The 14,152-nt window shown below is 45.4% G+C and overlaps 1 protein-coding gene across 4 annotated transcripts in view, besides 1 other annotated feature; it reads left to right on the forward strand.

Annotated features, from left to right (window-relative positions):
* Window positions 1-14,152, forward strand: part of VAV1 (vav guanine nucleotide exchange factor 1) — an 84,654-nt gene that overhangs the window by 33,804 nt on the left and 36,698 nt on the right. The gene's annotated exons all lie outside the window — the stretch shown is intronic.
* Window positions 47-341: an enhancer, noted in NCBI's record as "tiled region #13171; HepG2 Activating non-DNase unmatched - State 22:ReprW, and K562 Activating DNase matched - State 9:DNaseU". NCBI's record gives its function as "activates a minimal TATA promoter and a strong SV40 promoter by Sharpr-MPRA in HepG2 and K562 cells {active_cell/tissue: HepG2 | K562}" and the evidence as "EXISTENCE:reporter gene assay evidence [ECO:0000049][PMID:27701403]".

Consider the following 14,152-nt stretch of genomic DNA (forward strand, 5'->3'; position numbering starts at 1 on the left):
TGTGATGGATTCCTTTTCTGGCTTTGTAAATCTAGGATCTCCCACTCATGGCAGCAAAGTAGCTGCAGTTGCTCCAGACCGCCTAACCTCACTCTTGACCAACACAGCGGAGAGTAAATCACTGTCCCAGAAGCTGGAGCTTAAGATCCGGGATTTGCACTCTCTCATTGGTCTGAAGTGGGTCATGTGTTAATCTCTGAACCAATAGTCATAGGCAAGGGGATGGGCCATGCTAATTGACTGGAACTGGGGGTGGAGCCCCTCTCAGCCCATGTTGCTAGAAGAGAAAGAGGAAAGGGTATGGATGTGTGCATAATTAGTTAATGAATATATTCATTCTTTCCACCATCCCTCATTGATTTGTCTACTGCGTCCCAGCAGCAGGGAATGTGATGGTTGATAAGAACTTGTTTCTGCTCTCATGGTGATCCCAGTCTACTGGGATTCCACGATCTGTTCAGACAGGTACAACCTGTTGTAATCAATGCTGTGTATTCATTAGGATAGAGGTTTGGCTACTGTAACAGTTAGGTAGAGATTAATTTATCATCTAAACCTATAGAGCAGCAGTCTCCAACCTTTTTGGTAGCAGTGACCGGTTTTGTGGAAGACAATTTTTCCATGGACCAGAGTTAGGGGGGATGGTTTCAGGATGATTCAAATGCGTTACATTTATTGTTCCCTTTATTTCTATTATTATTACATTGTAACATATAATGAAATAAGTATACAACTCACCATAATGTAGAATCAGTGGGAGCCCTGAGCTTGTTTTCCTGCAACTAGATGATCCCATCTGGGGGTGATGGGAGACAGTGGCAGATCATCAGGCACCAGATTCCCGATAAGGAGCGCACAAGGTAGATCCCTCACATGTGGAGTTCACAGTAGGGTTTGCACTCCTATGAGGATCTAACGCTGCAGCTGATCTGACAGGAGGTGGGGCTCAGGTGGTAATGCGAGCAATGGGGAGTGGTTGTAAATACAGATGAAGCTATGCTAGCTCACCTGCCCACCACTCACCTCCTGATGTGTGGCCCAGTTCCTAACAGACCATGGACCGGTACCAGGAGGCTTGTACTGGGAGCTACTCTGGAGGCTGAGGTGGGAGGATCACTTGAGCCCAGGAGGTGGAGGCTGCAGTGAGCTGTAATCATGCCACTGCACTCAACTGGGCAACAGAGTGAGACCCTGTCTTTTAAAAAAAAGTTAAAATCACTCCTGTAATCCCAGCACTTTGGGAGGCCAAGGTGGGCAGATCATGAGGTCAGGAGTTCGAGACTAGTCTGACCAAGATGGTGAAACCCCATCTCTACTAAAAATACAAAAATTAGCTGGGCTTGGTGGCACACACCTGTAATCCCAGCTACTCAGGAGGCTGAGCAGGAGAATCGCTTGAACCTGGGAGCCAGAGGTTGCAGTGAGTCGAGATTCTGCCACTGCACTCCATCCTGGGTGACAGAGTGAGACTCTGTCTCAAAAAAAAAAAAAAAAAAAGAAAAGAAAAAGTTAAAAAAAAGGCCGGGCGCGGTGGCTCAAGCCTATAATCCCAGCACTTTGGGAGGCCGAGGCAGGTGGATTGCCTGAGGTCAGGAGTTTGAGACCAGCCTTGCCAGCATGGTGAAACCCGTCTCTACTAAAAATACAAAAATTAGCCAGGTGTGGTGGCAGGTGCCTGTAATCCCAGCTACTCGAGAGGCTGAAGGAGGAGAATCGCTTGAACCCAGGAGGCGGAGTTTGCAGTGAGCCAAGATCACACCATTGCACTCCAGCCTGGGAGACAAGAGTGAGACTTCATCTCAAAAAAAAAAGTTCAAAAAAACCCCAACCAATTCTCTCCTCCCCAATAATTACCTTAGGACAACAGGCATAAGCTTGGGTCATCCTTGGCAAACTAGGAGGTAAGTCACTCTATGTAGCAGAGAACCAAAGTAACAAGGACTTAAATAAAACTGAAGATTATTTATTTCTTATGCAATAATCTGAGCTTAATCAGTCCAAGGCTGGCATGGTCCTTTCTACAATGTCAAAGACCAGCTCCTCCTGTTCTGTTCTTCCGCCACCTGTGAATTTCCTTTGTCCTCAGTTTCCAAGAATACTCATCACCATACTCACTTGCCAGCCAGATAAAGGGGCTAGAATGTTCCTCCCTTTAAGAATGCAACCTGGAATTGCACATTATCAGTTAGCTTTTGCTGTGTAACAAACAGTCCCCTAAAATGGAATGGCTTAAAGACAATATTTGTTATTCCAATTAATTTAGTAAATTGTCTGGGCAGATAGGTGATCTCTGTGGTTAGCTAATAACTTGGCTGGGGTAGGTAGTCTAGGAGGGCCTCATTCACATATCTGCTGGTTGGCCAGTTGATTAGTATAGGATACCTTTAGCTAGGTGCTTGTCTCTGCTCCACACGGTCTCTCATCCTCTGGCAATTTAGCCTGAGTGCTTGAATTTGGCAGGAGTATTCCAAGAAAGCAACAGGAGAAGTTGCAAAGCCTCTATGGGCTAAAGCGAGCCACAAGACCAACCCAGATACAAAAGATGAAGACTTAGAATCTACCTCTCTTTTTTTTTTTTTTTTTTTTTGAGATAGGGTCTTGTCTTGTCGCCCAAGCTGGGGTGCAGTGACTTGATCTTAGCTCACTGCAACCTCAAACTCCTGGACTCAATTGATCCTCAGCCTCCTGAGTAGCTGGAACTATAGGCATGTGCCACCACACCTGGCTAATTTTAAATTCATTTGTAGAGACGGGGTCTTGCTTTGTTGCCAGGCTGGTCTTGAACTCCTGGCCTCAAGCAATTCTCCCACCCCACCCAATCCTCCCAATCATGTCTTGGGGTTACAGGCATGAGCCACCATACCCGGCAATTCTCTTTGGCTGGTAGGAGCTGGAAAGTATTTGTAATCTACCACAAAGGGCATTCAGGGCAGAGGCAACCTTATATATGAGACCTGGAGATGAGAGACAGTAAAATAGGTGCATTTAGCGTGTGGCAACCACTTCCACCTGGCTGGAGCAGAGGTGGGAGAGGTAAGTGAGAAAAAAAAGAGTAGAGTCATCAGAGAAGTCAGCAGGGGCCGTGGTGAGGTTGAACTTTGTGTTGGGGATGATGGGGGAACCATGGCAAGGTTTCAAGAGGAGATTGACATGGTTAGATTTGCTGTATGAAGGTGGGCTGGGAGGAGTACAAAACGGATCAGGAAGACCACTGAGGAGGCTGTTGCAGCCACAAAGGTGATCACTGCGGTGGCTGCTCTAGGATTTGGGAACAGGGATGGTGAGAAGAGCTTAGATGTGACAGATAGTTTGGATGTAGAATCTGAATAATCTATTGATTGACTGGAAATGGAGGATTCAATGAATCCTCCATTTCCAGCCAGGTGCAGTGGCTCATGCCTGTAATACCAGCACTTTGGGAAGCCAAGACAAGCTAATTGTTTGAGGCCAGGAGTTCAAAACCAGCCTGGACAATGTAACAAGACCCTGTATCTACAAAAAATAAAAATAAAAATAACGTTATCTGGGCATGGTGGTGCATGCCTGTAGTCCCAACACTCAGGAGGTTGAGGCAAGAGGATCAATTGAACCCAAAAGGTGGAGGCTGCAGTGAGCTATGATTGTGCCACTTCACTCCAGTCTGGGTGACAGAGCAAGACCTCATCTCTACAAATAAAAAGTTAGCCAGGTGTGGTGGTGCATGCCCATAGTCCCAGCTGCTCAGGAGGCTGAGGCAGGAAGATTGCTTGAGCCCAATTTCAAGGCTGCAGATTGCACTACTGCACTTCAGCCTGGGCAACAGAGTGAGACCCTGTCTCTAAAGAAATAAAAATAAAAATAAACCCGACTTTCAAAACACTTAGATTCGTTCCTGGCTTGTAGACGATCACCTATGAAATTACTCTAACTTGGCCGGGCACAGTGGTTCATGCCTTTAATCCCAGCACTTTGAGAGGCAGAGGTGGGTGGATCCCCTGAGGTCAGGAGTTCGAGACCAGCCTGGCCTACATGGTGAAACCCTGCCTCTACTAAAAATACAAAAAATTAGCCAGGCGTGGTGGCGGGCGCCTGTAATCGCAGCTACTCAGGAGGCTGAGGCTGGAGAATTGCTTGAACCCAGGAGGCGGAGGTTGCAGTGAGCTGAGATCACGTCATTGCACTCTGGCCTGGGCGACAAGAGTGAAACGTTATCTCAAAAAAAAAAAATTACTCTAAGTTGATTCTGAAGGATTGGGGAGTGTTGAAAATCATCTTGGGTTCCTAAGACAAATTGCTGGGTGGTAATGGCACCATTGTTAGATGAAGAGGCTGGAGGGAGAGCAAGTTTGAACTGGCAATGATGTCAATCTTGGACCTGTTAAGTTTGAGGTGCCCATTGTTGAAAGAATGAACCTGTTTCCCCAGCTGTAAGCAAAGAAATGGATTGCAATGAAAAGGCATGCTTTCAACTGTTGTTCCAAAACCTTTGTCCTCATCTGGAACGGAGGTACAGACTGTCTCTTAGTTACTGTGTTATTCATTTCTATTTATTTATTTATTTTTGAGATGGCGTCTTGCTCTGTTGCCCAGGCTGGAGTGCAGTGGCACGATCTCAGCTCACTGCAGCCTCCGCCTTCCAGGTTCAAGTGATCCTCCTGCCTCAGCTTCTCAAGTAGCTGGGATTACAGGCATGCACCACCATGCCCGGCTAATTTTTGTATTTTTAGTAGAGACAGCATTTCACCATGTCGGCCAGGCTGGTCTCGAACTCCTGACTTCAAGTGATCCACCCTCTTCGGCCTCCCATAGTGCTGGGATTATAAGCATCAGCCTCCACACCCAGCCTCATTTATTTATTCAATAAATTGTATTGGGCACTATTGCATGCCACCATGTGGTGTTCAGGATTCAGAGGTGACTCAACCCTGGGTCCTGACTTCATCTGGAGAGAGCCCAGCACAGGCGTCTTCGTTGTCAGGCCTGGGTTGAGGAGGGACATCATGTTAAGGGAGGCTGCAGTTGGGGGAGAATGAGGACTCTGCTTGGCTGAAGACATTGGGGAAGGTTTCCTGGAAGAAGAGATATTGGAGATGGGCCTTGAAGGATGAGTAGGAGTTCACCAGGCAAATAGGAGAGGAACTTTTAGCCCAGACAGCAGTCCTTTATTCATCTCCCTGCATATAATTACTGTAAGAATCGGCAAGAGAAGCTGGAATGGAGATCCATGAGGTCTCTGAGGATCAGACAGACACATCACAGCTAACTCTGGCCCAAAGGGTACTTCATTAGGATAACACCAGCTACTGTAACAAACAAGACATTTCAGTGACTTCACATGGTAAAAATTGATTTCTTGTACACAAAACAGTACAATGCATGTGCTTCTAGTTCCAGGTCGGGGGGCTTTTCCCCGCAGATAATTCAGGGACCCAGGCTACTTTCATTTGCAGTTTTGCCATCCCTTAGAGTCTCAGCCTGCAGAAAATAGGGAGAGAGGAGGTATGGAGAAGTAATTTCTCCTTAAATACAGTGCCCTGAAAGTGATGCTTATGACAAATGCTCCTATTCTATTGGCCAGAAGCAGTCACATGACTGCATCCACATGCAAGGAGAGATGGGAAATGCAGTCCTTAGCTGGGCAGCCATTTTCCAGCAGCAATTCCATATTATGGAAGAGAAAACACGAATATTGGTGGATCTTTAGTGGCCTCTGCCCGAGGTAGACAGCAGGAATAGAACTAAGGGCTTGGAGGCAGTAACACTCAGTTTGATTTGTGCTCTTGAGTAAACCCTTCTTCTCACTCTTTGGGTTTCTCTCTCTGAGTGATGAGTGAAGATTGGAAGCTGATTAATATCTGAGGTATTTTCCAGTTTCAAAAATTGACCGGGTGCAGTGGTTCACACCTGTGATCCCAGCACTTTGGGAGGCCAAGGCAGGCAGATTACTTGAGGTAAGGAGTTCAAGACCAGCCTGGCCAACATGGTGAAACCCTGTCTCTACTAAAAAGAAAATACAAAAATTAGCAGGGCATGGTGGTGGGCGCCTGTAATCCCAGCTGTTCGAGAGGCTGAGGCACTTGAACCTGGGAGGTGGAGGTTGCAGTGAGCCAAGATCACGCCACTGCACTCCAGCCTGGATGACAGAGGGAGACTCTATCTCAAAACAAAAACAGAAACAAAGACAACCCAAAATACAAAAATTGATGGGTTGGTGAATGCTCTTGGTTTCCCAGCTGGAGCTAAGATGATGATGGTGGTGATGCTCATGGTCATGAATACTATTGTGGTAATGATGGTGGTGATGATTATAATGGTAACGATGATGGTGATGGTGGTGATAATGATGATGATGATGATGATGATAAGAATGGTGATGAGGAGAATGGTGATGGTGGTGATGATGATATTACTATCATAATGATAATGATAATTTCCAGAACTTGAAACGTCCAGCCCTTTTTATGCATCATATAACTGAATTACAACAACATGACACAGTAGGCATAAACCCTTCATGTTGGTTCATTTGCCTTTATCCTTGTTACCTATTTATTGCTAAGTAACAAATTATCCCCAAACTTAATTGTATAAAACAACCATTTATTATGCTTATGGATTATTTGGGTCAAGAATTCTGAAATAGCTCATCTAGGCAGTTCCCCTTTAGGGTTTCTAATGAGGTTGCACACAGATGTCGGCTGGGGCTGCAGTCATCTAAAGGCCTTAGCTGGAGGGTCTACTTCCTGAGTGGCTGGGCCACATAGAGCTTCAGCTCCTCTCCACCTGGGGCTCCCCACAGGACTGATTGAGTGGCCTCACAACATGGTCGCCGGTGAGTGGTCCAAGAGACCAAAATGGAGCTTCGATATGTTTCATTATTTAGTCTTGAGAACTCACATCTTGTTTCTTCCACCCTGTTCTTTTAGTGACACATGGCCAGTCTTGGTTCAATGTGGGAGGGGATTACAAAAAGGCATCTTAACTTATGTATGAATACTAGGAGCTATGGACCATTGGGGGCCATCCTGGAGGCTGGCTACTACAAACACATTGTCTTAATTACTGTAGATTTATGGTGTCTTAATATTTGGTAGGACTCATACCCTTTATTTTCCCTCTGTAGGAGTATATTGGCTACTCATGGCTGAGGTTTTCTATACAAATCTTAGGATTTGTATGTCAAGTTCAATGAAAAGCCATTCTGGGGTTTTTAATTGAAATTGGATTAAATCTATAGCTCAATTTTGGAGAGAATTGAAGATTTTAAAACTTGAGTCTTGGGGCTGGGTGCGGTGGCTCATACCTGTAATCTCAGCACTTTGAGAGCCTGTGGTGGGAGAGTCACTTGAGGCCAGGAGTTGAAGACCAGCCTGTGTGACATAGTGACATCCTGTCTCTATAAAAAATCTTTAAAAAAAAATTAGCCAGGTATGATGGCATATGCTTGTAGTCCCAGCTACTTGGGAGACTGACGCAGGAGGATCTTTTGAGCCCAAGAGGTCAAGGTTACAGTGAACTATGATCGTGCCACTCCACTCCGGCCTGGGTGACAGAGTGATACCCTGTCTCTAAAAATAAATCAATGAATGAATAAATAAAATAAAACAAAACACTGAGTCTTGCTAGAAAGGAACTGGTATATATTCTATTTTGTTTAGGTCACTAGCTTTATGCAGTTTTGTTTCACATCTTCTAGGCTATGGTCAATAGTATCCTTTTAAAATCAAAGTCTGATTTCCCTATGTGAAAAGCTAAATTCTTCATTTTATCATTCAATCAGTTCTAGCAACTGTGGACACTTGTGCAATCCACACCCTTATCAAAACAGAACATTTCCATCACTTGTGGCCTCTCTGAGTCAATCTCTACCTTCCCTCTTGCTCCGGAAGCAACCACTGATTTGATTTCTATCATCATAGGTTAGTTTTGCTTACTGTAGGATTTCACAATTTTTTTTTTAATTTGTGAGTTATTTTTGCTTATGTACTGACACTTAGTACACTTTGTATACTGGTTTTGTATTCAGCCACACTGCCAAATAATTTTATTAATTTCAGCTATTTATCTATATATTCTTTGGGAATTTCTATGTTGATGATTGCTTCTTCTGCAAAAATGACTTTCTTTCTTTCTTTCTTTTCTTTCTCTCCTTCCTTCCTTCCTTCCTTCCTTCCTTCCTTCCTTTCTTTCTTTCTTTCTTTCTTTCTTTCTTTCTTTCTTTCTTTCTTTCTTTCTTTCTTTCCTTTTTCCCTCTGTCTTGTCTTGCAGTACAGGCTGAGATCTTCAATACAATGTTGAATAGAAATGGTGATAGCAGGTTCCGTTGCGTAGTTCTGATTTCAAAGGGAATCTTTTCAACATCTCATTATTAAGTACAGTGTTTCGGTCTAGGTTTTCTGAAGACCTTCTTTATCAGGTTACAGAAGTTCCCTTCCATTTTTACTTTGCCAAGAGATTTTTTTCCCCCTCTTTCTTTTGATCAGGAATGAATGTTGAGTTGCTACCGCATCTTTCATGTGTCTTCTGTTGCAGATTTCTCTTTTTGACAAAAAGAGAACAGGTCTTGGGTCAGAGCCTTGGGCGAGCAACAGAATCTACCTAGAATTTAGTAACGTTGTTTGAACCATATTTATTCTACAGTTGCTTCTTCTTTTATTTATTTATTTATTTATTTTGAGACAGGGTCTCATTGTGTTGCCTGGGCCGGAGTGCAGTGGTGCGATCATAGCTCACTGCAGCCTCTACCTCCTGGCCTCAAGTGATCCTCCTGCCTCAGCCTCCCAAGTAGCTGGGACTACTGGCCATCACACCAGGCTAATTTTTGTATTTTTTGCAGAGACAGTGTCTCTCCGTGTTGCTCAGGCTGGTCCCAAACCCCTGACCTCAAAGTGATCCTCTCGCCTTGGTTTCCCAAAGTGCTGGGATTACAGGTATGAGCCATCACACCCATCATACAGTTGTTTCTGTTTGTAGCCCGTGAGCTTAGTTTTGTAGGAGGATGTAAAGCTCTCTTCTTAAACACAAAAGAGTTAAAGTTCATGTTCCATATGCAATGGGTTGCATAGACTGTGGCAGCAATTGAGAAGATGATACATTCTGCAAATGGAAGTGTGAGAAACAGGGTTACAACAGACATTAAGTGCCAAATGAATTCACACACACAGCTATGGCATAATGGTTACGCACAGGCTTGGAAGTCATGCTGCCTGAGTTTGTATCCCGGCTGTGTGTCTCACCTCAGTTTCCTTCTCTGTAAAATGAGGATAATAATATGACTTACCTTGAAGAGTTGCTGGGAGGAGTCCATGTTATCTCTGCAGCATGCTGAAAATTGAGAGCATGGTGGGTGGAAGCTCATGCTAGCTTCCACTACACACAAGGTAAAGAGAAAAGGCTGTGGTCAAGAAAGTGGGCTCAGCTGGGAGTTGTGGCTCCCACCCGTAATACCAACATTTAGGGAGGCTGAGGCAGGAGGATTGCTTGAGGACCAGCCTCGGCAACATAATGAAACTCTCTGTCTCTACAAATTTTTTTTTTTTTTTTTTTTGAGACGGAGTCTCGCTCTGTCGCCCAGGCTGGAGTGCAGTGGCGCAATCTCGGCTCACTGCAAGCTCCGCCTCCTGGGTTCACGCCATTCTCCTGCCTCAGCCTCCCGAGTAGCTGGGACTACAGGCGCACACCACCACGCCCAGCTAATTTTTTTGTGTTTTTGGTTGAGACATGGTTTCACCGTGTTAATCAGGATGGTCTCGATCTCCTGACTTCATGATCTGCCCTCCTCGGCTTCCCAAAATGCTGGGATTACAGGTGTGAGCCACCATGCCCGGCTACAAAAACATTTTTAAAATTAGCTGGATGTGGTGGCACACATCCATTGTCCTGGCTGCTTGGGAGGCTGAGCTGGGAGCATTGCTTGGTCCCAGGAGGTGAAGGCTGCAGTGAGCTATGATTGCATCGCTGCACTCCAGCCTGGACAACAGAGTGAGAGCATCTCTCTCTCGCTCTCTCTCTCTCTCACACGCACACAGACACATACGCACACACAGACACACACACACACAGAACGTGGGTTCTAGATTCATACCATCTCGGAGTTTAATTGCAGCTCCTCCCCTAACTTACTCTTGCTGTTAATCTCAAGCAGCATCCCCACACCGATCTAAGCCTGCTTTCTTGTAGGTAAAATAGACACAGACGGGTGTGGTGGCTCATGCCTGTAATCCCAGCACTTTGGGAGGCCGAGGCAGGTGCATTACTTGAGATCAGTTCAAGACCAGCCTGGACAACATGGTGAAATCCCCATCTCTAGCAAAAAATACAAAAATCAGCTGGACGTGGTGGCACACTCCTGTAGTTCCAGCTACTTGGGAGGCTGAGGTGGGAGAACCGCTTGAACCTGGGAGGTGGAAGTTGCAGTGAGCCGAGATGGTGCCACTGCCCTCCAGCCTGGGCGACAGAGCAAGACTCCATCTCAAAAGGGTATAAACACTGACAGTGTGGTTATGAGAATGGAGTTAATCTGAATGCCTAACCATGTGTAGTAGGCATCCAAGAAATGCATTTTTTTTTTCTTTTGAGATGGAATCTCACTCTTGTTGCCCAGGCTGGAGTGCAGTGGGGATATCTCAGCTCACTGCAACCTCCGCCTCCTGGTTCAAGCAATTCTCCTGCCTCAGCCTCCCAAGTAGCTGGGATTACAGGTGCCCGCCACCATGCCTGGCTAATTTTTTTTGTTTGTTTTTTTGGTATTTTTAGTAGAAATGGGGTTTCACCATGTTGCCCAGGCTGGTTTTGAACTCCTGACCTCAAGTAATCTGCCTGCCTCTGCCTTCCAAAGTGCTGCGATTACAGGGATGAGTCATAGCACCCAGCCAAAAAATGCAAATATTGTTATGGTAGGGGCACAGAGTAGGGGTTGGCAAGTATGTCAGAATCACCTGAGGAGAGTGTTAATATGCAGATTCCCAGGCCCCACCTCCATCCATCTAGTTAACAAACATATATCAGGGGCCTCCTACACATAAGGTACTATCATAGTTGCTGGGCATTCAAGAAACAGAACGATGGCCCTCCCCTCTTCAAACTGACATTTTATTTGGGTGAGATAAACAATAAACACAACAAGAGAAGCAAAACTAAGGGGATAGAAAACGCCGGAGTAGGGGTGTGGGATTTTATGAAATTTTAATTAATTTATGTATATATTTATTTTCTGAGATGGGGTCTCGCTCTGTTGCCCAGGCTGGAGTGCAGTGGCACCGTCGTGGCTCACCGCAGCCTCCACCTCCTGGGCTCCAACAATCCTCCTCTCTCAGCCTCCCGAGTAGCTGGGACTACAGGCACCCGCCACCTTGCCTGGCTAATTTTTTGTGTTTTTAGTAGAGACGGGATTTCACCGTGTTAGCCAGGATGGTCTCGATCTCCTGACCTCGTGATCCGCCCGCCTCGGCCTCCCAAAGTGCTGGGATTACAGGCATGAGCCACCACGCCCAGCCTTAAATTTGTTTTTGTAGAAATGGGATCTCATTATGTGGCCCCAGGCTGATTTTGAACACCTAGGCTCAAGTGATTCTCTCACTTCCACCTCCCAACGTGCTGGGATTACAGGTGTGCACCACCACACCCAGCTGACTTTTTATTTTTTGTGGAGATGGGGTCTCCCTGTGTTGACCAGGCTGGTCTTGAACTCCTGGGCTCAAGTCAACCTGGGAGTGGGATTTTAAATAGGGTGGCTAGAGGAGGTCTCACAGAGAAGGTGTCCTTTGAGGAAAGACAAAGACGTTGGCAAGGAACTTTCTTCTGGATATCAGGGTGTATTTGTTTGCGTGGGTGCCACAACAAAGTACCACGAGCTTGGAGGCTTAAACAGCAGAAATTTATCTTCTCACAATAAATGTCTTGTTCACCTCCCTATCCTCCCCTCTTCTTCCTCCTCGCCCACTCTAACTCCAGCCACATGGGCCTCCTTGCTGTTCCTCCAACATGTTAGGCAAGATCCTGCCTCAGGACCATTGCATGCACTGTTCTCTCTTCTTGGAATACACTTTCTTGTGTGCTATGGGTTGAACTGTGTCCCCCCAAAATTTATACATTGAAGTCTTAACCCCTAGTACCTCAGAATGTGGCAGTATTTGGATATGGAGTATTTACAGAGGTAGTTCAGTTAGAATGAGGTCATCTGTGTGGGCCCTAATGCACTGTGACTGATGTCCTTATAAGAAGAGTAAACTAGGGTGCAGGCAGGGCAAGACCACGTCACAGTGCAGGGAGAAGGTGGCTGTCTACTGAAATGAGCCCTTAGAGGAACCTACAAATATCTAGTCCTAAAAAGTAGAAACAAACTGGCCGGGCGTGGTGGCTCACACCTGTAATCCCAGCACTTTGGGAGGCCGAGGCGGGTGGATCACCTGAGGTCAAGAGTTCAAGACCAGCCTGACCAACATGGTGAAACCTCATCTCTACTAAAAATACAAAAATAAGCTGGGTGTGATGGCGGGTGCTTGTAATCCCAGCTACTCAGGAGGCTGAGACAGGAGAATTGCTTGAACCTGGGAGGTGGAGGTTGCAGTGAGCTAAGATGGCACCATTGCACTCCAGCCTGGCGGACAAAGTGAGACTCCATCCCCCTCAAAAAAAAGAAAGAAAAGAAACAAGCTATCCATGAAAACACTTTGTGATGTGCTGTTTTATATCACAGAATGGAACCTGTGTTTTGATTCAACAAGTTCAAAACACTCTTTTCATAAAATCTAAGAAGTTATGTTTCTGAACCTATTGAGCCTTTATAGGAACATATGAATATCCAGTCCTAAAAACTAGAAATGAGCGATCTGTGAAAACACTTTGTGATGTGCTGTTTCATATCACAGAATGGGACCTGTGTTTTGAAGAAACCAACCCTACTGACACCTTGATCTTGGACTTCTAGTCTCAGAACTATCTTGGACATTTCCTATGAATAGAATTGTACAATACATGGCATTTTGTGATTTGCTTCTTTCACTGAGCATGTTTTTAAGGTTCATCCATGTTGTAGTGTGGAACAGTATTTTGCTCCTTTTTTATGGCTGAGTAATATTCCATTGTGTGGATTTGCCTGTACTGGACATTTCCTATAAATAGATGCATGCAATACGTGGCTTTGGAAGATGGATTTTAACCAACTCTACTGACGAGTCTGCTTTAGGACTCTTGGTCCAGACTGACTTCATGGAGAGTGTTGGGGGTTGTGGGAGAGGCCAAGCCTACAAGCTGTGGGAAGCTGGTGGATGGAAGGCTGGTTAGAATTCTTCAGGATCTGGGGAACCTCAGAGAGTGCTGAACCTGTTGGGACGTTGGATGAGCCAATACTTGGCAAATGCAAGAATACAAAGGTTTCTTTCTTTCTTTTTCTTTTTCCAGATACTCAAAAGCTGGGGCCATGTTACATGTGCCCAGCTGTTTCATTAGTTAATATCTTTTGGTTGCAGGCCATGGCAACCAAATCTAAAGTAACTTAAACAAGAAAAGGAATGTTTTGGCTCATGAAATAAAAAAGTTTAGGGATGGCCAGGCATGGTGGCTCCCACCTGTAATCTCAGCACTTTAGGAGGCCAAGGTGGGCAGATTCCTCAAGTCCAGGAATTCAAGACCAGCCTGGGCAACATAGCGAGACCTCGTCTCTACAAAAAATACAGAAATTAGCTGGGTGTTGCGACACATGACTGAAGTCCTAGCTACCTGGGAGGTGGAGGCAGGAGGCATGGTTTTTTGTTTGTTTGTTTGAGACAGGGTCTTGCTTTGTTGCCCAGGCTGGAGTGCAGTGGTGCCATCATAGCTCACCGCAGGCTCGAACTCCTGGGCTCAGTGATCCACTCATCTCCGCCTCCTGAGTAGTTCAAAATGTTTTTCAGGTCATCCACATTGTAGTATGAATCAGTGCTTCATTCCTTTTTATGGCTGAATAATATTCCATTGTATGGATATACCACATTTGTTTAACCGTTAGTGATTAATTTTATCTTTTGTGAATTTTAACTCAATAAAAACATTCAGAGCATAGATCTGGATCAGGCACAACTTAATCTTTACCAGAAGATAATTCAATTTCATGGAAGAGGGTCTGTGCTTTCATTTCCCCTCCACACCAGTCCCCAAGCTAGGTGGCCTGGGGGTCAGTTTCTCCCCTGCCCTT

This window comes from Homo sapiens, chromosome 19, assembly GCF_000001405.40.
Source record: "Homo sapiens chromosome 19, GRCh38.p14 Primary Assembly".
NCBI lineage: Eukaryota > Metazoa > Chordata > Mammalia > Primates > Hominidae > Homo > Homo sapiens.